This window comes from Homo sapiens, chromosome 4 (genome assembly GCF_000001405.40).
Source record: "Homo sapiens chromosome 4, GRCh38.p14 Primary Assembly".
NCBI lineage: Eukaryota > Metazoa > Chordata > Mammalia > Primates > Hominidae > Homo > Homo sapiens.
This window is the reverse complement of record NC_000004.12, coordinates 168,174,726-168,197,779: the sequence shown is the minus strand read 5'-3', so window position 1 is coordinate 168,197,779 and position 23,054 is coordinate 168,174,726. Positions and strand designations below refer to the sequence as shown.

The 23,054-nt window shown below is 38.0% G+C and overlaps 1 protein-coding gene and 1 long non-coding RNA gene across 5 annotated transcripts in view; one reads left to right on the top strand and one right to left on the bottom strand.

The window, feature by feature from the left end:
- The window catches only part of LOC105377524 (uncharacterized), a 29,038-nt gene that overhangs the window by 1,268 nt on the left and 4,716 nt on the right, over positions 1–23,054 (top strand). For 2 of the 3 annotated variants that reach the window (XR_007058356.1, XR_939424.3), the window contains exon 2: positions 3,284–3,383. This is a non-coding gene — a long non-coding RNA (uncharacterized LOC105377524). Of the gene's footprint in view, positions 1–3,283; positions 3,384–10,613; positions 12,004–23,054 lie in introns of those variants that run through there. The other variant, XR_001741917.2, reaches the window with a different exon arrangement.
- The window catches only part of ANXA10 (annexin A10), a 95,200-nt gene continuing 82,189 nt past the window's right edge, over positions 10,044–23,054 (bottom strand). For both annotated transcript variants that reach the window (XM_011531571.3, NM_007193.5), the window contains 6 exons: positions 19,987–20,040; positions 19,797–19,890; positions 18,468–18,563; positions 16,039–16,097; positions 13,099–13,221; positions 10,044–10,414 (listed from right to left, as the gene is read on the bottom strand). In XM_011531571.3, the coding sequence (XP_011529873.1) occupies positions 10,346–10,414; positions 13,099–13,221; positions 16,039–16,097; positions 18,468–18,563; positions 19,797–19,890; positions 19,987–20,040 (495 nt within the window). In that variant the 3' untranslated portion in view covers positions 10,044–10,345. The remainder of the gene's footprint in view (positions 10,415–13,098; positions 13,222–16,038; positions 16,098–18,467; positions 18,564–19,796; positions 19,891–19,986; positions 20,041–23,054) is intronic.

Sequence of the window (23,054 nt, the reverse complement as noted above, 5' to 3'; positions counted from 1 at the left end):
TTTTTGAGACAGAGTCTTGCTCTGTCACCCAGGCTGCAGTGCAGTGGCGTGATCCCAGCTCACTGCAAGCTCCACTTCCCGGGTTCACGCCATTCTCATGCTTCAGCCTCCCAAGTAGCTGGGACTACAGGTGCCCACCACCATGCCCAGCTAATTTTTTTTGGTATTTTTAGTAGAGACAGGGTTTCATCTTGTTAGCCAGGATGGTCTCGATCTCCTGACCTCATGAGGCTGCCCGCCTTGGCCTCTGAAAGTGCTGGGTTTACAGGCATGAGCCACCGCACCCAGCTGGGAAATTTTTTTGAATTATTCCTTCAAATATGTTATTCATGCTGTTTACTTTTTTTCTCCTTCTCTCTCAGAAATGCCAAAATGTGTAGGTTTGGTTGGTTTACATAGTCCCATATTATGTGTGGGATCCCAAAGTCTCAAAGACTTTGTTCATTTTTAAAAATTATTTTACCTTAATTTTTTTGACTCAATCAGTTTGAACAAACAATCTTCAAGCTGTGATATTATTTCTTCCTTTTGATCTATTCTATTAATAAAGCTTTAAAGCTTCCAATTGTATTTTGAAATTCCGTAAGTGAGGTTTTCAATTCCAGTGGCTCTGATTGATTTTTTAAAAATATGTTAATGTTTTCCTTTGTTTACTGGGTTGCTATAGAGGTTTTTTTTTTGTGTGTGTTGATTTTTATCTTTGTCTTGGATCTCGTTAAGGTTCCTTGCAATCCATGCTTTCAGTTCTTAAATTGTCATTTCTTAATTTCCATTTTGTCTAGTGACCATTGCTAGAGGGCTAGTGCAATTCTTTGGTGGTGTTACTACAATCAGATTTTCGTGATGCCAGAATTCTTGCACTGGGTTTTTTCATCTGGAGATGCTGGCACTTCCAATATTTGTAATTATTTTGTGTAGGTGGGATTTTTTGTGTTTTATTTCTTTTCCTATAATATTATTGCGTTTTCTTCTTTCCTTTTCTCTTCCCTATCTCCCTAGGGGGTGTGACTGTAGAGAATGCTGAATAGGGTCTTTTGGGTTTGCTTCTATAGTCTTATTTACTTCCTTCAGCAGGTTTTATATTAGACTGTGCATTTCTGCCTACAAGATATTAGATGGTGCTTATAGAAAAGAGCCAGCTGCAGCCAACACAGCTTTGTATATACTTGATCCTTATTTTCTGGTAGAGGCTCTCTTTGCCTCAGGCAAAGGGCTGATTCATGAAATGCACAGTTATCTGAGTTCCCTGCTCAGCCCTGGAGGCAGGGGGCAGGGGCTACAATAGATGGGGACAGACTAGGCAGGCTCACCTACTTATCCCCCAATGTCTGGCACACCGCCAATGCCAAGAGAGAATCCAGTGGGTGGCCAGCAGGTGCCCAGAGGTGTGCCTAGGCATGGAGCTGGGAAATCTCCTTGGCCCCAAGTTTTCTGCTTGGGGATGGAGGGTGGCTTAAGCTCCTATTTGAGGAAAGTAGGTTCTCTGGGTACCTGGAGATCTACCTGGATGTGGAGCAGAGAGGACCTCCCCTGCACCAGGTTGTCTGTATAGGAAGGATGGGGCAGCTTGGGATGGTAATACAGGTGAATTGGTGTTCTGAATTCCTGGAGATCTTCCTGGGGACAGAGTGGGGAGATGCTCACTGCATCATAATCTATGTCCAGGAACAGTGGGGTGGTTCAGGCTACTGAACCAGGTGAGTGGGTGCTCTGAATGTCTGGAGATTTGCCTGGGCATGAAGCAAAGAGGGCCTCCATGCACCAGGATCTCTGTACAGGAAGGACTGGGCAGGTCAGGCTGCTGATCCAGGTAAGCATCGTCCTCTGAGTGCCTGGAGATCTGCTTGGTTTGAAGCAAGGAGTGCCCCCCTCTACAAAGATCTCTGCACAGGAGGGGTGAGGCAACTTGGGCTGCTGAATCAGGCAAGCAGATGCTCTGACTACCTGGAGCTTTGCCTAGGCATGGAGCAGAGAGCCATGCTAGACCACAATTTATGCCCAGGAAGTGTGGGGCAGCTCAGGCTGCTGAAGCAGGTGAATGGGTACCCTGCATGCATGGACATCTGTATGGGCATGGAGTGGAGAGGGCCTGACTGGACCACAATCTGTGTCTATGAAGGATAGGGTGGCTCAGGCTATTCGTCCAATCAAATAGATGCTCCAAGTGCCTGAAATTCTGCCTGGGAGTGGAGTGGTATGGACCCCATTGCATCATGATCTCAGGATAGCAGGCTGGGGCACCAAGAAATGGCACATGCAGACTGATTCCAGATTACTAAACTTGACCTGGCTGCAAATCTCACTGTCCAGGAGAAACTGCAGCTTTAGAAGTACTCCTCTTTCCCCAGGATTGCAACAGGGTAGAACACAATTCCAACACCTACTGCTGAGATGCTTTCCACAGTTCTGGCTGTGGAGGCCCCTACCCAACTCCAGGCCAGGCACTCCAGTCTCCAGCTTGAGACTAAAATGCCTGTGTGGCAACACTGCCAGGTCACCCCAGAATCTATAACAGTTTCTGACTGAAAATCTATGTTGTCTGATATTAGTATAGCCAAACCAAATCTCTTTTATTTGCTGTTTGCATAGAATATCTTTTCCCATCATTTTACTTCCAGCCTCTTTGTGCTTTGGGATCTAAAAGGAGTCTTTTCAGACAGTATATATTCGATTATGTTTATTTTTTTAATCTATTCTGCCAATGTCTACCTTTGGATTGGAGTGTTTAAACCATTTACATTTAAAGTAATTGCTAATATGGATTTTTAGTCTTATACTATTATTGTTCCTCATTTTCTCAATTGCCACTTCCTTTCATTTCCATTGATTTTTATGTCTTATCATTTTGATCCCTTCTCATTTTCTAACGTTATTGAAATATATCTTCCATTTTAAAAAATAAATTTGAATGTATATATGTAAGGTATACAACATGATGTTTTAAGATATAGCTATAGATAGTAAAATTATTACCATAGTGATGCAAATTAATTTGTTCATGTTACCTAGTTACCCATTATTTTTCTTTCCTTGATATATAATATTTTACATATTTATGGGGTATATGTGAGTGTTTGTTGCAGGGATAGAATATGTAATGGTCCCATTGTTACTGCAATACCAAGGGTTTGGTCTAGGCCCTACTGCTCACTGCACAGAAAGCCAATCACTGAGATGATGAGTACTGCCAAGGAAGAAGGCTTTAACTTGGTGCTGCAGCCAAGGAGATGGGAGCTCAGTCTCCAATTCATCTCCCTGACTGACTAACTATGGGTTTATATAGCAGGGAAGAAATGTAACCATGCATAAGAAAACAGGAACTAAGGAGGGGCAAGGAAGCCATCATCATGAATGAGAAGTCTGACAACTGGTGCTGTGATCTGGTGAGTTTCAGTCCTTTGATACTTTTCTGAGGCAAATTTCAGTTCTTTGATACTTTTCTGAGAGGCCTGAAGATCCTGTCCAAAGGAAGGAACTCAGATAAAACAAATATAAGCTTCAAGCTTTAAGAGCAGAAGGATCAATTTCTACGTTTATCAAAAAGAACAGTATATGGGACTATTGGGTTGGTTTCAACATCAGGGTACTTGGGGTATCTGTCACCTTGCATATTTATCCTTTCTATATTTTGGTATCATTTCAAGTTTTATCACAATATTCTTGCTAAGTGTAGTCATCATAGTCTGCTACCAAACATTAGGACTTATTTTTTTCCATCTAAATGCATGTTAATACCCATTAACCAACATCTCTTTATACAGCCGCCTGCCTACCCACCTTTCCCACTCTCTGGTATCTAGCATTTTATTCTCCATGTTAATGAGATCAAGTTTCTTAACTCCCACATATGAATGAGAAGATGTGGTATTTGTCTTTCTGTGCCTGACTTATTTCACTTAGTATAATAACCTCCAGTTCCATTCATGTTGCTGCAAATGACGTGATTTTATTCTTCTTCTATGGCCAATTAGTATTCTATTGTGTGTTTATGCCACATTTTCTTTATTGAGTCATCTATTGATAGACACCTAGGTTGATTCCATATCTTTGCTATTGTGAAGAGTGATACAATAACTATGAGTGCAGGTATCCCTCTGATATACAGATTTATTTTCCTTTGGATAAATATTCAGTAGTGGTGTGTCCAGAGTTGGTTCCTTCTGGTGGGTTCATGGTCTCGCTCACTTCAAGAATGGAGCCGCAGACCTTTGCAGTAAGTGTTACAGCTCTTAAAGGTGGCACAGACCCAAAGAGTGAGCAGCAGCAAGATTTACTGTGAAGAGCAAGAGAACAAAGCTTCCACAACGTGGAAGGGGACCCCAGCAGGTTGCGACTACTAGCTGGGGTGGCCAGCTTTTATTCCCTTATTTTTCCCCTCCCATGTCCTGTTTCTGTCCTATCAGAATGCCCTTTTCTCAGTCCTCCCCATGATTGGTTACTTTTAGAATCCTGCTGATTGGTCCATTTTATGGGATGCTGATTGATCCCTTTACAGAGTGCTGATTGGTGCATTTTACAAACCTCTTGCCAGCTACAGAGTGCTGAGCGGTGCGTTTTACAATCCTAGCCACAGAGTGCTGATTGGTGTGGTTTTTGTTTGTTTGTTTGTTTGTTTGTTTGTTTTTTTGAGAGGGAGTCTCACTCTGTCGCCCAGGCTGGAGTGCAGTGACGCAATCTTGGCTCACTGCAAGCTCCACCTCCCGGGTTCACACCATTCTCCTGCCTCAGCCTCACGAGTAGCTGGGACTACAGGCGCCTGCCACCGCACCCAGCTAAATTTTTGTATTTTTAGTACAGGCGGGGTTTCACTGTGTTAGCCAGGATGGTCTTGATTTCCTGACCTTGTGATCTGCCCACCTCGGCCTCCCAAAGTGCTGGGATTACAGGCGTGAGCCACCACGCCCAGCTGATTGGTGCGTTTTACAATCCTCTTGTAAAACAGAAAAGTTCTCCAAGTCCCCACTGACCCAGGAAGTCCAACTGGCTTCACCTGTCAGTGGGATTTCTGGATCATGTGGTAGTACTATTTTTAGTTTATTGAGAAATCTCCACACTGCTTTTTATAGTGGCTGCATAATTTACATTTCACCAACAGTGTTTAATAGTTCCCTTTTCTCTGGATTCTCACCAGCATCTGTTATTTTGTGATTTTTAAATAAAAGCCATTGTAACTGAGGTGAGGTGATATCTCATTGTAGTTTTGACTTGCATTTCCCTGATGATTAGTGATCTTGAGCATTTTGTCATATACCTCTTGGCCACTTGTATTTCTTCTTGAGAAATGTCTATTCATGTCTTAGCCCAATTTTTAATGGGACTATTGGTTTTTTACTGTTGAGTTGTTTGAGTTCCTTATATATTCTGGATACAGCCCCCTTTTGAATGAGTAGTTTGCAAACAGTTTCTCCTATTCAAGCAGTTGTCTCTTCACTTATTGAATGTTTCTTTTGCTGTGCAGAAGCTTTTTTGTTTAATATAGTCCCTTTTGTCTATTTTGGGTTCTGTTGCTTGTGATTTTGAGGTTTTAGTCATAAAATCGTTGCATGGACCAGTGTCCTGAAGAGTTTTCCCTATGTATTCTTCTAGTAGTTTTATAGTTTCAGGTATCACATTTAAGTTGTTCATCCATCTTGAGTTGATTTTTGTACATAGACATAGGGGTCTAGTCTCATTCTTCTGCATATGGCTAGCCAGTTTTTTTTAATGTACCATTTATTGAAGAAGGTGTCTTTTCCCCAGTGTATGTTCCTCATGACTTTGTTGAAGATCAATTGACTGTAAATATATAGATTTATTTCTTGAGTCTCTATTCTGTTTCTTTGGTCTATCTGTCTATTTTTCCATTAATACAATGTTGTTTTGGTTACTATAGGCTTGTAATATGTTGGGAAATCAGGTATTGTGATGTCTCTGGCTTTGTTTTTTGCTCAGGATTGCTTTAGCTTTTCTGGATCTTTTTTGATTAATACAAGTGTCAGGCTAATTTTTTCTATTTTTGTGAAAACTGACATTGGTGTTTTGATAGGGATTGAATTGAATCTGTAGATTGCTTTGGGTTACATAATCATTTTAATGATATTAATTCTTCTGATCCATGAGCACATAGTATCTTTCCATTTGTCCTCTTTAATTTTTTCATCAGTGTTTTGTAGTTTTCCTAGTAGAAATCTTTCACTTCCTTCATTAAATTTATTCCTAGGCATTTTTTTGGTAGCTGTTGTAAATAGGATTTAGTTCTTGATTTCTCTTTGGGGTATTTCGTTATTGGTGTATAGGCATGTGACTGATTTTTGTGTTATGATTTTGTATCCTGAAACTTTACTGCATATGCTTATCAGTTCTAGGAGTTTTTTGTGGAGTCTTTTGTTTTTTCTTTTTTTTAAATAATATAAAATTCTGTTATCTGCAGAGAGGGACAATTTGACTTCCTTTTCCCCAATTTGGATGCATTTTATTTCTTTTTCTTAACTGACTAATCTGGCTAAGGTTTCCAGTAACATGTTGAATAGGAGTGATGCAAGTAGACATCCTTGTCTTGTTCCAGTTCCTGGATGAAATGCTTTCCATATTTCTCCATTCAGTATGATGTTAGCTGTGGGTTTGTAATAAATGACCTTTATTATTTTGTTATATGTTCCTTCTATACCTAGTTTGTTGAGTGTTTTTATCATGAGGGAGTGTTGGATTTTATCAAATACTTTTTCTGCATCTATTGAGATAATCACGTTTCTTGTCCTTCATTCTGTTGATGTGATTTATCATCATATTTATTCATCTGCATATGTCAACCCATCATAGTACCCCTGGAATAAGTCCCACTTGTTTGTGATGTATTATCCTTTTGATGTGCTATTGGATTTAATTTGCCAGTATTTTCTTTAGGATTTTTGCATCTATGTTCATCAGGTATATTGGCCTGTAGTTTTCCTTGTCTGGTTTTGGTATCAGCATTTGGTAATGCTGGCCTTGTTAAATGAGTTAGGGAGAATTCCCTCCTCTTCAGTCTTTTGGAATAGTTTGTGGAGGATTGATATAAGTTCTTCATTATACATTTGACAGAATTCAGCAGAGAATCTATTTGGTCCTGGTCTTTTCTTTGTTGGAAGACATTTTATTACCAATTCTAATTACTATTCATTATTGGTCTTTTCTTGTTTTCTATTTCTTTCTGATTCAATCTTGATAGGTTTTATGTTTGCACGAATTTATTCATTTCTCCTAGGTTTTTCAGGTTGTTAGCATACAGTTGTTCATAATAGTCTTTGATTATCTTCTATATTTCTGTGATATCAGTTTTAATGCCTCCATTTTCATTTCTGTTTTTGTTTATTTGTGTCTCTCTTCTTGGTTAGTCTAGCTAGAAGTTTATCAATTTTGATTCTTTTCTAGAAGAACCATTTTTTCATTTTGGTGATCCTTTGTATTGGTTTTTTTAGTCTCAACTTCATTTAGTTCTGCTGTAATCTTTATTTTTCTTTTCTTCTGCTAATTTTGGGTATTGTTTGTTTTTGATCCTCTAGTTCCTTGAAGTGCATTGTCAGATTTTATTTGAAATATTTCTTTATGTAGTTATTTATTGCTATAAACTTCCTTCTTAGCACTGCTTTTACTGTATTACACAGGTTTTGGTATGTTGTGTTTCCATTTTCATTTGTCCAAGAAACTTTCTGATTTCCATCTTCATTTTTTTTACTGATCTGATGTTCATCTAGCAACATGTTTGATTTCCACCTATTTGTATACATTCCAAAGTTCCTCTTGTTATGGATTTTTAGTTTTATTTCATTGTAGTCTGAAAAGATGCTTGATATGACTTTGATTTTTTAAAAATTCAATGGGACTGTTTTATGGTCTAATATATAGTCCTTTCTGGAGAATGTTGCACGTGCTGATAAGAAGAATGTGTCTTCTGTAGTTGTTACAGAAAATGTTCTATAAGTGTCCGTTAGGTCTATTTAGTATAAAAAGCAGTTTACTTATTTATTTATTTTTTGAGACAGGGTCTCACTCTGTTGCCCAGGTTGGACTGCAGTGGCATTATCACAGTTCACTGCAGTCTCAACCTCCTGGGCTCAAGCAATCCTCCCACCTTAGCCTCCCAAGTAGCTGAGACTACTGGTATGAACCACCATGCCCAACCCTAAAGTGCAGTTTAAATACAATGTTTCTTTGTTAATTTTATTTCTCAATGATCTGCCTAATGCTAAAGGTGGGGTGTTGAATTCTTGCAATATTATTGTATTGGAGTTCATCTCTCTGTTTAGATCTGGTAGTATTTACTCTCTGAATCTGGATGCTCTAATGTTGGGTACATATATATTTAGAATTGTTATTTCATTTCACTGGATTGGTTCTTTTATTATTATGAAATGACTTATGTAGTCTTTTTCTTACTTTTTGACATAAAGTCTATTTTATGTACTATAAATATAGCTACTTCTGCTTGCTTTGGGTTTCTGTTTGCTTGAAATATCTTTTCCATAGTTTTATTTTCAGTCTATATGTGTCTTCATAGGTGAAGTGCATTTCTTGTAGGCAGCATATAGTTGGATCTGTTTTTAGCCTTTCAGCCAGTGTATATCTTTTAAGTGGAGAATGTAATCTGTTTTTATTCAAGGTTATTACTGATATACGAGGTTTTGTTCCTATCATATTGTTAGTTATTTACTGGTTGTTTTGTATATTCTTTGCTTCTTTTTTTTTCCTCTGTTTATTCTTGTGGTTTGGTGTTTTTCAGTGGTGGTACCATGTGACTCCTTTCTCTTCCTCATTTGTGTGTTTGCTTTACTAGTGAATTTTACACTTTCATGTGTTTTCAGGATGAGAATTTTCTTCCTTTTGGTTCCAGGTTACACTCACCCATCTTGCCTCTGGTTTCAGTCCTGGCTAGATTGTGGCATCAGTTTAGGTTATTCCCCAAATCTGATCTCAGTGAGTATTTTTTCTTTGTCACTCCTAACTTTCTGAACCTTGAGAGACAGAAGAGACCATGCTCTACTGATGGCACCAAAAAAGCATATCATAACTTCCAAAAGTCGTTGAGGCTGCTGTTAAAAGGTGAAGATAAAAACAGAGAGAAATGGCTTTTCTCACATAGCTTGGGCAAGTAGTTGGTTAAGTACTGTCACAAAAAAAGAATAGCTGCAAGTCAAACACACACACGTGCACACACACACACACACTATATATATATATATATATATATATATATATATATATTTTTTTTTTTTTTTTGAGACGGAGTCTTGCTTTGTCTCCCAGGCTGGAGTGCAGTGGTGTGATCTAGGCTCCGCCTCTCTGGTTCTCACCATTCTCCTGCCTCAGCCTCCCAAGTAGCTGGGACTATACGCGCCCACCACCGTGCCCGGCTAATTTTTTGTATTTTTAGTAGAGATGGGGTTTCACCGTGGTCTCAATCTCCTGACCTCGTGATCCACCCGCCTCAGCCTCCCAAAGTGTTGGGATTACAGGTGTGAGCCACCGCGCCTGGCCACACACAGTATTTTTACACCCAAATCTCTTATACGTCTAATCCAGGCAAGCATATATCTGGCTGCATTTTACTGGTTTATATCTTTTTTTTTTTTTGAGACAGAGTCTTGCTGTGTCGCCCAGGCTGGAGTGCAGTGGTGCGATCTCGGCTCACCACAACCTCTATCTCCTGTGTTCAAGCGATTCTTCTGCCTCAGCCTCCTGAGTAGCTGGGATTACAGGCACCTGCCACTACGCCCAGCTAATTTTTGTATTTTTAGTAGAGACAGGGTTTCACCATGTTGGTCAGGCTGGTCTCGAACTCCTGACCTAGTGATCTGCCTGCCTTGGCCTCCCAAAGTGCTGAGATTATAGGCATGAGCCACCATGCCCGGCCACATTTTGCTGGTTTACGTCTTTACTTATTTTTAAAGCCTGCTGTAGATGATCACTCTAGCTTTATTGTAATTGTATAGGAGTCTCAAAAATTCCCCAAACTAGGATGGTCACACTGCATTTTCCTTGGTCTTTCAAATCATGATAAAGACGGCCTTGAGCAGACTCTCTTGTTGTAGGTTGTTGATGGTTCACATTTAAATAAAATCTATTCCAATGCAATTTTTCTATTATTCCATCATGCACAATTTATTTAATTGCTGATTAGATAGTAGGCAAATTCAGGATAGTAGGCAAATTCAGTATCATATACTTTCATTCATAGTTTTCTTTGGCTTAGAATAATTTCAAAGATAGAAGAGAAAATATGATTGTATAGTTTTGTTAATAGTGCCATGAACAGTACAAATTTGTGAGAAAATCTCTATTTGGAAGTGTCTAGAAAGAGGAGTGCACAGTACTCCAAGTCCTCTTCATTTTAGTAGTCCTCAGCATCACCAGCACAGATGGCAAGCAGTGCTTTCTTATAATGCCCTGAAGCAAAATTCTGAAAAGAAAAATATAATATATTTGAAATAAAATATCATAATAGTTCTAAAAAGGAAGCATAATTCCTCTGGACTGCACTATGAAAGAGCCATGGACCATTAGCCTTTCTAAACTTATTTACTTTTCTCATCTAAAGGTTTAACATGCCCTAAGTACTGCTCCCAATGAAAGTTGTTGAAGAATAATGCTCTGGTTACAGTCAGTAGTATGTGGTTTACATAAAGTCGGTTGAACCTGAATGTGTATTTATAAGAACTTGCCTTAGAATTAAATATTCTCCTCAACTTTAGGAAGATGTACCCTAATGTTATTATTATTATTGTTATAAATGAATGTAGAATGTGGAGAACAAATTAATATGTCTCAAAAGATTTAAAAATATTTATAATTATTAATGTAGTAATTCTACCTCAAGAAATATATATTAAGAAAGTTATTATCAATCATTGATAAGCACAAAGTTTTGTGCTAAAAATATATACACCATAATATTATGTATAATAGTGAAAAACTGAGAAGCAATGTATAATAATGTGAGGTAGTTTGTGTACTTTATAGCTTATACAGCAGAATACCATGATTCAATAAAAATACTCTTTTACATAGCAAAACATATTATTATTTATATAGCTTTAGAAAATGACTGAAAGTACCTGTCTTAGTGTGTTCAGGCAGCTGTGACAAAAGTACCATAAACTGGGTGACTTATAAACAATAGGAATTTATTTCTAACAGCTCTAGAGGCTGGCAAGGCCAAGATCAAGCAGATGTGGTGCCTGCTGAGTGCCTGTCTCTCGTAGACAGCCTTCTTCTCATTCTAAGCTCACATGGCAGAAGGGACAAAGGTGTTCTCTTTGGCCTATTTTATAAGGACATTAATCCCATTCATGGGCTCCACGTTCATGACCTAATCACCTCACAAAGACCCCACCTCCTAGTATCATCACTTCTTTGGGGTTAGAATTTCAGCAGATACATTTTCAGGAGACACAAACATGCACACCATAGCAGAATAAAAGTTTATTAATGATTTTCTGTAGAAAATTAGGGAGGTTTTAATTTTCTTGTAATGGTCTTCTATAATTTCTATATTTTCCAAAATCAATGATAGTAGTAAATAAATATTATAAAATGTTTCTTTGTTAAGTATCAACTTTCATATTAAGGTGCTTTGGCACAAAGTCATGTAATGATAATTCAGTACTTTAAATGTACATAGCAAAGTTACATTAATTACATTTTCATATTAGCAGACTTTGAGTCGGTTGTGATTAATTATAATAAGTGCCTAAGAACTAATGTATTCATTTAGAAAATGAATTATGCCATGCATTTCTCATCACTAAAAGAGTTTAGAGTTTTGAAAGTGGCTGTAGGAGAGTTTTATCAAAGATGAAGGAATAAGATTTCTCTTAACTGCTCCATCAACTCTTCCTCTTAGAAACCATTTCAGCTCTCCAGAGGCCTACAAAGTCTTCTGTATTATGTGATCTCTTGGGCTTTAGATTGCTTCTAGATTACTCTTTCAATAAACTAAAACACTGCTTCTTGGAATTACAAATTTCAGATGAAAACAACGTGAACAAGGTAATAGCTTTTAGTTCTGCACAAAATATAAGTTCAGTTCTATTCTTATGTCCCTGTGCTTGGCTTGGTTTAATGCTCTGCTCTCCCCATCCTGAAATTCTTGAAACTTTTTTGAACACAGTGCCAAGCATTTTTATTTTCCACTAGGCTCTCAGTTAGTAAATGGTCCTATATATTCTGAGGATTCTTTGTTAGGTTGTATCAAAATGCATGAAGTTTAAAAGTATCAGAATGAAAACACTGGCTTGTTCAGTACTGAATCATTGCTCCTTTGCCCTTCAAGGGCTAAAGGGATAAGGATATGTAGAGTTGTATATAGCTAGGAACATTAAGTCCCTCCGAATTAGCAGTTTATGATATTTGACTGACTGCCCTGCCTTCTATGACAATATGAGAGGACAGCTCAACTGATTTAAGAAACCTCTTCAAAAGTAATGCAGCCTTTTGCAATATATATTTTTCCTGAGCCTGATCATACTTCAGAATTTAGCTCTTTAAGCACAATTATAGAGAATGAATATTTTGCATGACTGCATCAATGCTTCTGGGTAAAACACATCAAAGAGGAATAAGTTCTGTCGCTGAGGTAAAGGGTTCTCTTTTTTTTTTCTTTTTCTTTTTTTGAGATGGAGTCTCACTCTGTTGCCCAGGCTGGAGTGCAGTGGCGCAATCTCAGCTCACTGCAAGCTCCGCCTCCCGGGTTCAAGCGATTCTCCTGCCTCAGCCTCCCGGGTAGCTGGGACTACAGGCGTGTGCCACCACACCTGGCTAATTTTTTGTATTTTTAGTAGAGACGGGGTTTCACCGTGTTAGCCAGGTTGGTCTGGATCTCCTGACCTCGTGATCTGCCTGCCTCAGCCTCCCAAAGTGCTGGGATTACAGGCATTAGCCACCACGCCCAGCTGAGGTAAAGGGTTTTCTAAGTTAGCACCTGCCGATGTTCTAAAGACTGTGTAGAGGAAAAAAACTAGGTTATCCCTGTCTGAATAGTTAACTTTTTAGAGTCTGCCATGAAGTTATTTGAATGAGAACTTTTATCTCAGTTTCAAAAAGGAGAAAATGTGGGTCCAAATAAATCATGTGTCGGAAACTTACTCTGATATCATGAAATAGGGATTTTCCATATCGCTCTTTGTATCGTTTCCTTATGGTCAGCAGGTCTATTTCACTTCTGGCAATGAGAATCCTGATTACAGTTTTATTATGGAAACCAAAGTCCTAAAAGATACAGAAAAGTGGGAGAAATGAGAAGACAGCATCCTAAAAGTCAGTCTGTCCCAAGTGGACACACCCCTTTTCTGTAGTCATTTTCTCTTCTTCCTGAGTTCTTCCAACACTGGCATCACTGGCCACACAGGCTGTGGTTCAGATCCTGAGTCATTTCTGTCACTTCTCCCTCTCCCTTACCGCATGCTGACAGTGAATTATTCTCTTCTATTTTCTGAATGCCTTGTGCTCTCTATTCCAGTGCCACGACCTTGACTCTGACCCTTATCATTTCACCCTGATTCTGCAATAGTTGCTCCCCCTTTCTAGCCTTGTTAACCTTCACACCGTCCCACTCACACTGCATTATAAACTGCAAATCTGATCCTGTGGTCCTTCCTGGTAAGAATTCTTCCTTGGAGGGGAAGACATTCTCAGCTCTGTCAGATGGACATTGATTTGTCTAAGACAGCAGTAACATTTTAATTTTATTTTCTTGTCATCATTGATAAATTATAAAAAATTAGAATTCTAGGTGATTCAAATATTTGCCGGTTTAAATTCAAATGCAGAAAAATACAAAATCAATGTCTGTATGCTAGCCCCAGAAATACTGCACCCTAACAAATCAGTTTCAAATTGTCTTTCCAAACAGAGTAATCGTGACATCTAGTGGCCAGAAAACAGAATCTGATTTTTGAAGACAATGTTTTGAATGTATATTACTAATAAACTTTTCATAATTTGAGGTGGTTAAAATGAATGATCTAACAAGTATTCAAACTTAAAATGTAGATCGTTCACTTTAGAGTTCACTGGAGGAGAACACAGAATATATCTTTGGTTCAGGGGTGATTAAAGCAGCTTTTTGACAAACATTTGACATTTGAGGTCTTCAGGTATCAAAAATTACATTACTTGAATATACAATCCTTCTCCGTACCTACAAACCATTTGTGAATACGCATATCTTCCTATTGCCTTATAACACATACACAGCAAAAATACAGTTTTCATGTACTATTAGAATAAGTAGCCTTGAATTTGTGCATAATTGGAATCAAGGTAATTGTAGTTATTTTCCCATAATCATTCACAAGTGAAGCTTCATACTGTTGTTGTAGTGGTTGGTTCTTTGAGAAGGAAACAATTGAAATCATCCTATAGCATTTCCAAATACACTATTTCAAATAAATGTTTAACCAAATCAACTGTTTCTCCTAGAAAATAGAATAGGAGAGAAGCAAGACTGTGAGCATTGATCTTCCTTTTGTGTTCTGGGGTTATCCAGGTTCTTCCTTTGCATAAATGAGAAAATACACTGCAGAAGATATATAATAACATACTCCTGACTATTAACATATTTTCCCAGCATGCTGGCTACTTTTAAGAAGTATATCTGTTAAATTTACCTTGAGGATAAAACTGATGATTAAAATTACTGTATTATTGGATTATTTTTAATCGTTTTCTTTGAGTTTTCAAGGCTACGACATGTATATAATTATCTCTATGAGACTTTCTTTTTCTTTTCTTTTTTCTTTTTTTTTTTTTTTTTTTTCCGAGACGGTGTCTCGCTCTGTCGCCAGGCCGGAGTGCAGTGGCGCGATCTCGGCTCACGCAAGCTCCGCCTCCAGGGTTCAGGCCATTCTCCTGCCTCAGCCTCCCGAGTAGCTGGAACTACAGATGCCTGCAACCACGCCCGGCTAATTTTTTGTATTTTTAGTAGAGACGGGGTTTTACCGTGTTAGCCAGGACAGTCTAGATCTCCTGACCTCGTGATCCACCCGCCTCGGCCTCCCAAAGTGCTGGGATTACAGGCATGAGCCACTGCGCGCGGCCGAGACTTTCTTTTTTTGTTTCATGTAGATATGGATAAGGAGTGCATTATGTGATGATGCACTTAAGTGTTTGTTTTTTAAAAAAATGAACGCTCCAGGCCGGGCGCGGTGGCTCACGCCTGTAATCCCGGCACTTTGGGAGGCCGAGGCGGGCGGATCACGAAGTCAGGAAATCGAGACCATCCTGGGTAACACAGTGAAACCCCGTCTCTACTAAAAACACAAAACAAAATTAGCCGGGTGTGGTGGCGGGTACCTGTAGTCCCAGCTACTTGGGAGGCTGAGGCAGGAGAATGGCGTGAACCCGGGAGGCAGAGCTTGCAGTGAGCCGAGATCGCGCCACTGCACTCCAGCCTGGGCAGCAGAGCAAGACTCCATCTCAAAAAAAAAAAAAAAAAAAAAAAAAAAAAATTAATGCTCCAAAGTATGTGCGACTGAATAACACACTGAAGTATGAAAAACATTCCCATTTAATTACAAAAATAGATTTAGAGTTTATGGTTTTCTAGTTATCACTTTAAATACTTTTTGAAAATAGCACAATGTTCAAAAATATCCATTGACATAATTTCGTGTATTGAAACTTCACGAACGTGGCAATTGCTTGCTGAGAGTTTGTAATATTTTGACATTTTCTGCTTAATGCCATATGTTTTGTACTTGCATAAGTCTGATGTGGGGGTCTTTGGAAACATACAAAAACATTTGAATTTACCAGTTTCTGCAGATATTAAATAATCTCTAAAGTGCACAGGGAGATACACCCCAAATATGGTTCCCTAAATTTGATACAGAAAGCAGAACATTATTTTTATCTGATATGTCTTATTTTTGGTGTCTAAACCAGTTTTTCTCACTTGGGTGTATTTTCTTTGTACATACAAGTTCAAAAATGGTAATGAACATTTAAATGATGGAAGTAAAATTAATCCTTTGAGAAAACAGACACAATTTCTGGAGAAATTTTAAAAATATATGTCTTACTTACATGAATTGCACTATATAATCTATAAGCAAAATAGGCTGGTTTGTCTCGAACACAGAGAACTAGGAGAAATCAGAGAGAGAAGAAGAAACATTGAGAGTGAAAACATATATTTTCGTCAGAATTTGAGAAACAATAACACTTTTCCTGTTACAATTCTTACATTGTATTGTAAGGTCAACACTTAGAATAATGGTAACACTATAAGCCACAGGAAAAAAATATAAAGCAACAACATTATAATGAGTCATGCAGATTTTCACTTGGTCTATTTCTATCTGTTGGAACTCTTGTTAGTTCCTTCATGTAGCCTAATGAAGAAAACTTTATCATCTTCTTTTTTTTTTTTTTTTTGAGACGGAGTCTCGTTCTGTCGCCCAGGCTGGAGTCCAGTGGCGTAATCTCGGCTCACTGCAAGCTCCGCCTCCCGGGTTCACGCCATTCTCCTGCCTCAGCCTCCCGAGTAGCTGGGACTACAGGCGCCCGCCACCACGCCCGGCTAACTTTTTGTATTTTTAGTAGAGACGGGGTTTCACTGTGTTAGCCAGGATGGTCTCGATCTCCTGACCTCATGATCCGCCCGCCTCTGCCTCCCAAAGTGAAAACTTTATCATCTTTATCTGAATATTAAATTAATAGAGCTTCAAAGAGACCTAGGTTATTAACACTATTATAGATTATTATTATTATTGTAGGATTGAATTTGATATAGCTCCCATGTAATCTGTTCATCTATTTGAATGCTATTTTTAGTAACTTATAGATTTGTGAGTAGACCTGAAATCTCTTAAGGGGAAACTATGGACCACAACTGGTCTAGACTAGTTCTAGAAGTTATCTAATAAAAACTGCTAAGGTGGTAGGACAGCCTAGAGCCTGGTCAACAGTTACCTTGCTGGAAGTCAGTTGATGATCATAAACATTCAGTAGTGTTTATTTGAAGAGGTTAACAAATTAATACATGAATAGGTAATGTATGAGAGGCTATAATTTCTAGCCAGAATGAAATAATCATAACAGTATTTCCCTGGTAGTTTAAGTAATTATTTTAGATTGTGAGATTATACCCTCATCTTTTCTTTCATTTTTAATACACGAAATCTTCATAATCACTCTTGAGTCACTACTCCTTAAAAGCTCCTTGAAGGCAGTGAACTTTTGCTGTTTTTGTTGTTTCATTGTTCTATCTGCAGTGCCTAAGTCAGTGTCTAGAACAGTAGGTGCTGAATAAATGTCTGCTGAGTGAATAAATCAGTTGAAATGTTTTCTGCCATTTCTAATGTCCACCACTTCCTCTCTTATGCCCACTGCTTTGTGGCAGGGGTCTATAGTGGAAAGAAAGCTATCTTGAGATTCGGATATTATGAATTTTAGTCATAACTTTGCTGCTAATCAGCTGATAGGCTTGGAGGCAGTTACTTAGTTTCCTTAGGCATTGTTTATAAAATGAAGGATTTTGATGTAATATATGGTTATTAAATTTTGTAGAGAATTTTCTGGAATAAATGTAACATTTTCAGAAAAAATACACAGTTATTAATAGTCATCTATTGCATACTATTTTAGGGGTTTCATCAAACTGTTTTCATGGAAGCCTAGCTTGAGACTTCTTTACTAGATAAGCTACAAAAATTCCTTTATCTGTCAGCTCTCACGCCCGTGTATGCCTCTGCCATTCAAGGATGGAAAATCACAATATTCATTTATTCAACTAGTATCTAAGTGATTACTTGACTACGCCTTCGATGGAGATATTTCATAATGATCCCCTTTGGTCGTCCCTGAAATGTGTGCTGTCAATTCACCAGCACAGTACAAGACAAAGGTAGTTCTATTGCACAGGTAGTTCTATTGCAGTTTTTCTGGATAACTCGCCCCGTTTTGTCCTCTATGGAGGGATATCATTTCTTACTTAGGAAGGAGCAAGAGGTGTGCCACTATCACAATAGCCTGAGGAAAATCACTACTTGGTAAATCTCTTTTATGGTAGGATTTACTCCTAAACCAAAATTTATTAGTAATGGTCACTAAAATATCCTTTTCCTCCTAAAGAGAAGAAAACCATACTGTTAAGTATTTATCGGCTCTTGGACAAGGGAATGGAAGTCAGTAAAGATAAAATGGATTGAACAGTGTGAGAAGCCAATTCAAAGAGAAAATATCTGAGAATGATGTGTTTTCTGGTATGAAAGTTGAACTAGCTGTTAGGGAAGGGTATCAGTTCATTAAAGTTATCAGGTTGCCAGTTTAGTGCATTTTATCAGTAGCTGATGTACTCTTCCCCTATGGAGTTAATGTCCTTTTAAAAAATTAAATTCAAGGGAAAATGACTCGATCAAGAGCTTACTCATGCATCTTTAGTTCAATCAGAGCCACTCAGCATTTATAGAGAAATAAAATGTCTGTTGTGCTTCAAATAATTTATTACTTACCAATTGCAACCAGCAGCTCCTGAAAGTATCCATCATAACATTCATTAATGGCATCTACCATATCTTGCCCAGAAATATTTTGAAATTCCTGGAAAACTTTAACAAATTGATGTAATTCAAAGGAGATTTTGAAAATATTATAATACAAATATTAGATTGTTACACATAGTAAAAATCCATATTTTCCATAAAATAATTAAAAGTACTACTGTTATCAATTCTGTTTGCTATAAATACCATTGAAACAAATACAAATACTCTTAGTAGAGTCAGCATAAATCTTGAACTTCAAAGACCTGTTATTATTCTCTTCTCCTGGGGAACAAATGCCACCTCCAGTGGGACCCACTAACTCACTGCTGATTTAAATTGAGAGGAAGCACACAACAAGCCATTATTTATGGACCAGTTATTTAGGACATATATAATAGGCTTATGTCAGCAGCAAACTTCCTACTAGAGCTTAAATATGAGAATTAAGTGTAAAAGTCCTCTCTGTGATGATTAAAATAGCAAAGTATCTATAAAGAATATTCTGAGAAATATGAAATCAACTTTTTGGGTGTAGACTAGGGTTTACTAATTTAGAATTGTGTTAAATTAAGATTCTTTATTTCACGAACTTAGTTATCTGACTACCCCAGGCAACTTTAGTTCTCATCCATTCTTACTGAAAATTAGAAGCAAGAAGATGTCTTTTCATTATTATTATTATGATTATCATTAAGACAGGTAATGTCTCTTATTGACTTGTAAAGTCTAGATGTGGGATTGGGGTAGGGTAGGCCATCTGTTGAAAATTTTCAGCCATTTGCGTACTTTATATAGAAAAAAACAAAATTTTTTTTAATAAAAGAAAAAGACACTGTAGTTTAGGGAATGTCAAACAAAGGGCAAACTAACATGAGTGCACCCTCTAAGACCAATAAGATTCCGTCGATATTGCAGAAATCATGACATCAATACTAATGGCCTTGATGCAGTATTGACTGGTTAAACTATATTTACTATGCATTTTGCAAGACAACATATAATATACCTAATAGGAAACAGCTAATATATTTGAATAAGTACTCCATCAAATACAGAGATTATTTTTAAAATGCTCAGTTTTTGAAAGTTATTGGAAAAAATATTAAGGAAATATTTATTCCTTAGTAATGTCATTAAATAAGGCACATCTTATAAACAAAATTCAAAATAAGTACCTTTGAGATAACTGACTTTCCGCTATTTCCTTGTAATATTTCATTTTTGTTTCTAGTTAACCACCTTCTTTTTGTTATATAATTGGTCAAGTAGCTGGAACGAAACCCAGTTAATAATTACCCAGCCGCAGCTGCTGGTAGCTCTTGTTGCACAGGATCATTTGCAGCATGGTTTTGTGCTCCCCCGTCTTCTGCTGACAGGCTTCCCATAGGACCTGGAACATTAGCCAGCAGAGAAGTAGCATCAGAACCACTCCAGCCCATTTTAACCCAGGTTCTTTGCAGTCAGTCTGAGAACTGGTTCTAGTTACCATTGCATCCTGAGCAGCCATCGCAGGGTCTGTATATCCTTCCTCTCTGGTCCCCTGTAAAGTAAGCACAGGTTTTCCATGTAAATGTTCTTAGTCAGCAACTCATATTGGATTAGTGAGACTGAAATCCTTGAAAAACATTCTGATTGTTCCTAAGGAACTTCTTTTATTATCTGGAGTAAGTGTTCATTTCCTGATTTCATGAATACTTTAGAAGATAGTGTATAAGGTTTTGTCTTAAAATGTGCATTATTTTATTTTACCTTTTCTTTGCAGCACTGGTAATGTTTGAAAGACATTTAGGCATTTTTCAGTTTTCCAAGTCTCTGTGCAGTATCTTCTCCCTTATCAAACTGAGTATCCACTGCCTGACCATGGCAGTGGGTGTTAGAAATGAGTGTTAACATTGTTAGAGCAAAAATGCAGAGAAAGTCCATCTCTGACTTGCACAATAGGATTTATACAACAACAAAATAGTAATGAAGCTCAGACTTTGTGCAGTGAGAATATTTTGTAAATCTGTTTAACTCTCACTCCATTATCATTTAGAGAACAGACATGGTCCAGTTGATCATTTCAAACAGGAGGGAAGGGGCGCTAACCAATGCAGGGTCCATTGATTCCTGAGGGTTATGAGGGCCAGTGGGGAGAAGGAGGTAGGGAGGCATGTTATCAGTCTAATTAACTGTTTCTTTTGGGTCAAGATATGGAGGGGAGGCTTTCTCCTTGCTCCAACTATGTTAAGAGAACACTGAAAGTACAGTAGCTTCTGCTTCTACCATTTTTCTTTTTTTGAGACAGGGCCTTGCTCCATTCCACAGGTTAGAATGCAGTGGCATGATCATAGTTCACTGTAACCTTGACCTCCTGGACTCAAGCAATCCTCCTGCCTCAGCCTCCCGAGTAGCTTGGACTGCAGGCGTGTGCCACTATGCGTGGCTAATTTTTTTTTTTTCTCAAAAAGAGGATCTCGCCATGTTGACAAGGCTGGTCTTGAACTCCTGGCCTCAAGTGATTCTTCCGTCTCAGCCTCTCAAAATGTTGGGGTTACAGGCATGAGCCACTGTGCCTAGTCCTGTCATCTTTTAGGATACTGGGAATAGCCACAGTGCAGTGAATCCAGTGAGACAGCAAGAGGGCACAGAGAGGTCTTAAACACAACTTCCTTGAATAAACCTCAGTCCCTAAATAGTATGAATGGGATCCCAAATTTCTTACCGGTTCCTGATGGAGGAACTTGCAATCTAGCTGAGAACCTGTGGGGAAGCTTGCCAGATTGAGTTGTTTATGACCATGGCAGGGACAGTGTTCCAGCAGCCAAGGGCTACAGGATAGACCACATTGATTTGAACTATGTGGGAGACACAGCTAGACCTTTGGGGGAGTCTTCAGCTCCCGTGAGAGTAAAGGTGAGGCTAAATCATCATGAAAGGTTTCTCTGACCAAACTGGTCAGTTTGGCTCTGACCTAAGTAAGACAGAGAAAAGATCATAAATTAAATCAGTGGCTTATCTTGGCAGCTAACACTGATAAATGCCCATATGCTGGTCATTGACACCTCATATATTCAATGTCCAGAATTGCCAAGAATTGCTATTCCATAGTCAAGATCAGCCAAAATGCAGGCAATATCTTGATCTAAGGACACAGTGGTGACCTTCCTGTTGCCAAGGTAGTTCATTAACCACACACACACACATCTCTCTACCAATTGCCTTCTTGGAAAGAAAGGAGGAGGATGGCCAGAAATCTGAGAGTCAAATACTTAACCCAATAAAAGTATGATGACATTGAACGTGCACCCACATTCACTATTCAAAGTATCACACAGATGAAATTTGCCATTTTAGATTAAATATTAGGGCTGTTTTTCTTGATAACAAAAAGCTAGAGGCATATGAGAAAGTGCAATTTATTCACAAAGAAATAAGTAAGCTACCATTTTTGCATAAATGTGTAGCCCTGGAACATTTAATGTTTAATCATAACTCAAAAGTTGTATGTCCCCTAAAGGTGAACAACTGATGGGAAATAGGCATGAGTTTGTCAGTCACATTTCTTCTTGCTCAATTTCCTTTGCTTAAAATACCAAGAGACTAAGACTGCACATATGCAATTCTTATTTTGAAATCTGTGTATTAAAATAAAGGAGTGAATAATGTTATTGAGTGGTAGGACTATGGGTGTTATCTTCAAATCATGGAAATGTTGAGGTGCAGGTACCTTAGGAGTCCCACCTCATATTTTGGAGATAAAAATTAGAGATATTAAGTGAATTGCCCAAGGTCTGATTGTTAGAGAAGAATGTGTATGAAATATCAGTGGCATTTCTGACTCTGAGGTCTGGTTACCATACTCTTCCCTTAGCCTAAATAACTTATTTTTACACAATATGTTCTGGCTCCCTTTCAAATTCTCTCTTATGATTTTAATTAATACCAAGAAACAAATAATTGGAAGCAATTAATATGCTATATCTTCTGTGACTACATGCCATTTATTTAATAACATACATTTGTGGTAATTCTTAGTCTTCATCTTATTGAATCGATCAGTAGGATTTGGTATAATCGACACTCTCTTCTTCTTGCTATACTTTCATCACTTGGCTTCCAGGATCCTGCAATCTATTTCATTTTATTGGTTACTCCTCAGTCTTGTGAACTGGTTTCTCTTCTTTTCGATCTCTTAATTTTGGAAGGTCCAAGTAGTCAGTCTTTGATCATCTTTTTGTCTGTATTTACATTTCTTCTCTTGATAATGTTATCTACTCATGTGGCTTTAAATTCCATCTATATTGTAATGATACCCATTTGTCTTACCCATTTATTTATTTACATCTCTAGCAAAGATCTGTCATCTGAACTTCAGATATGTATATTCCAATTGCCAATTCAGCATCTCCACTTGATTTTCTAATATACATATCAGGTTTAGCATGTTGAAAATTCAATGCCTCGACTCCCTCCACCTCAAACTCTTTCTATAGTCTCAGTCTTCCACACTGCACTTCATCCTTTCTGTTGCTCAGACTAAGAAACTGAGAGTCACATTTGATTCCGTTTTTC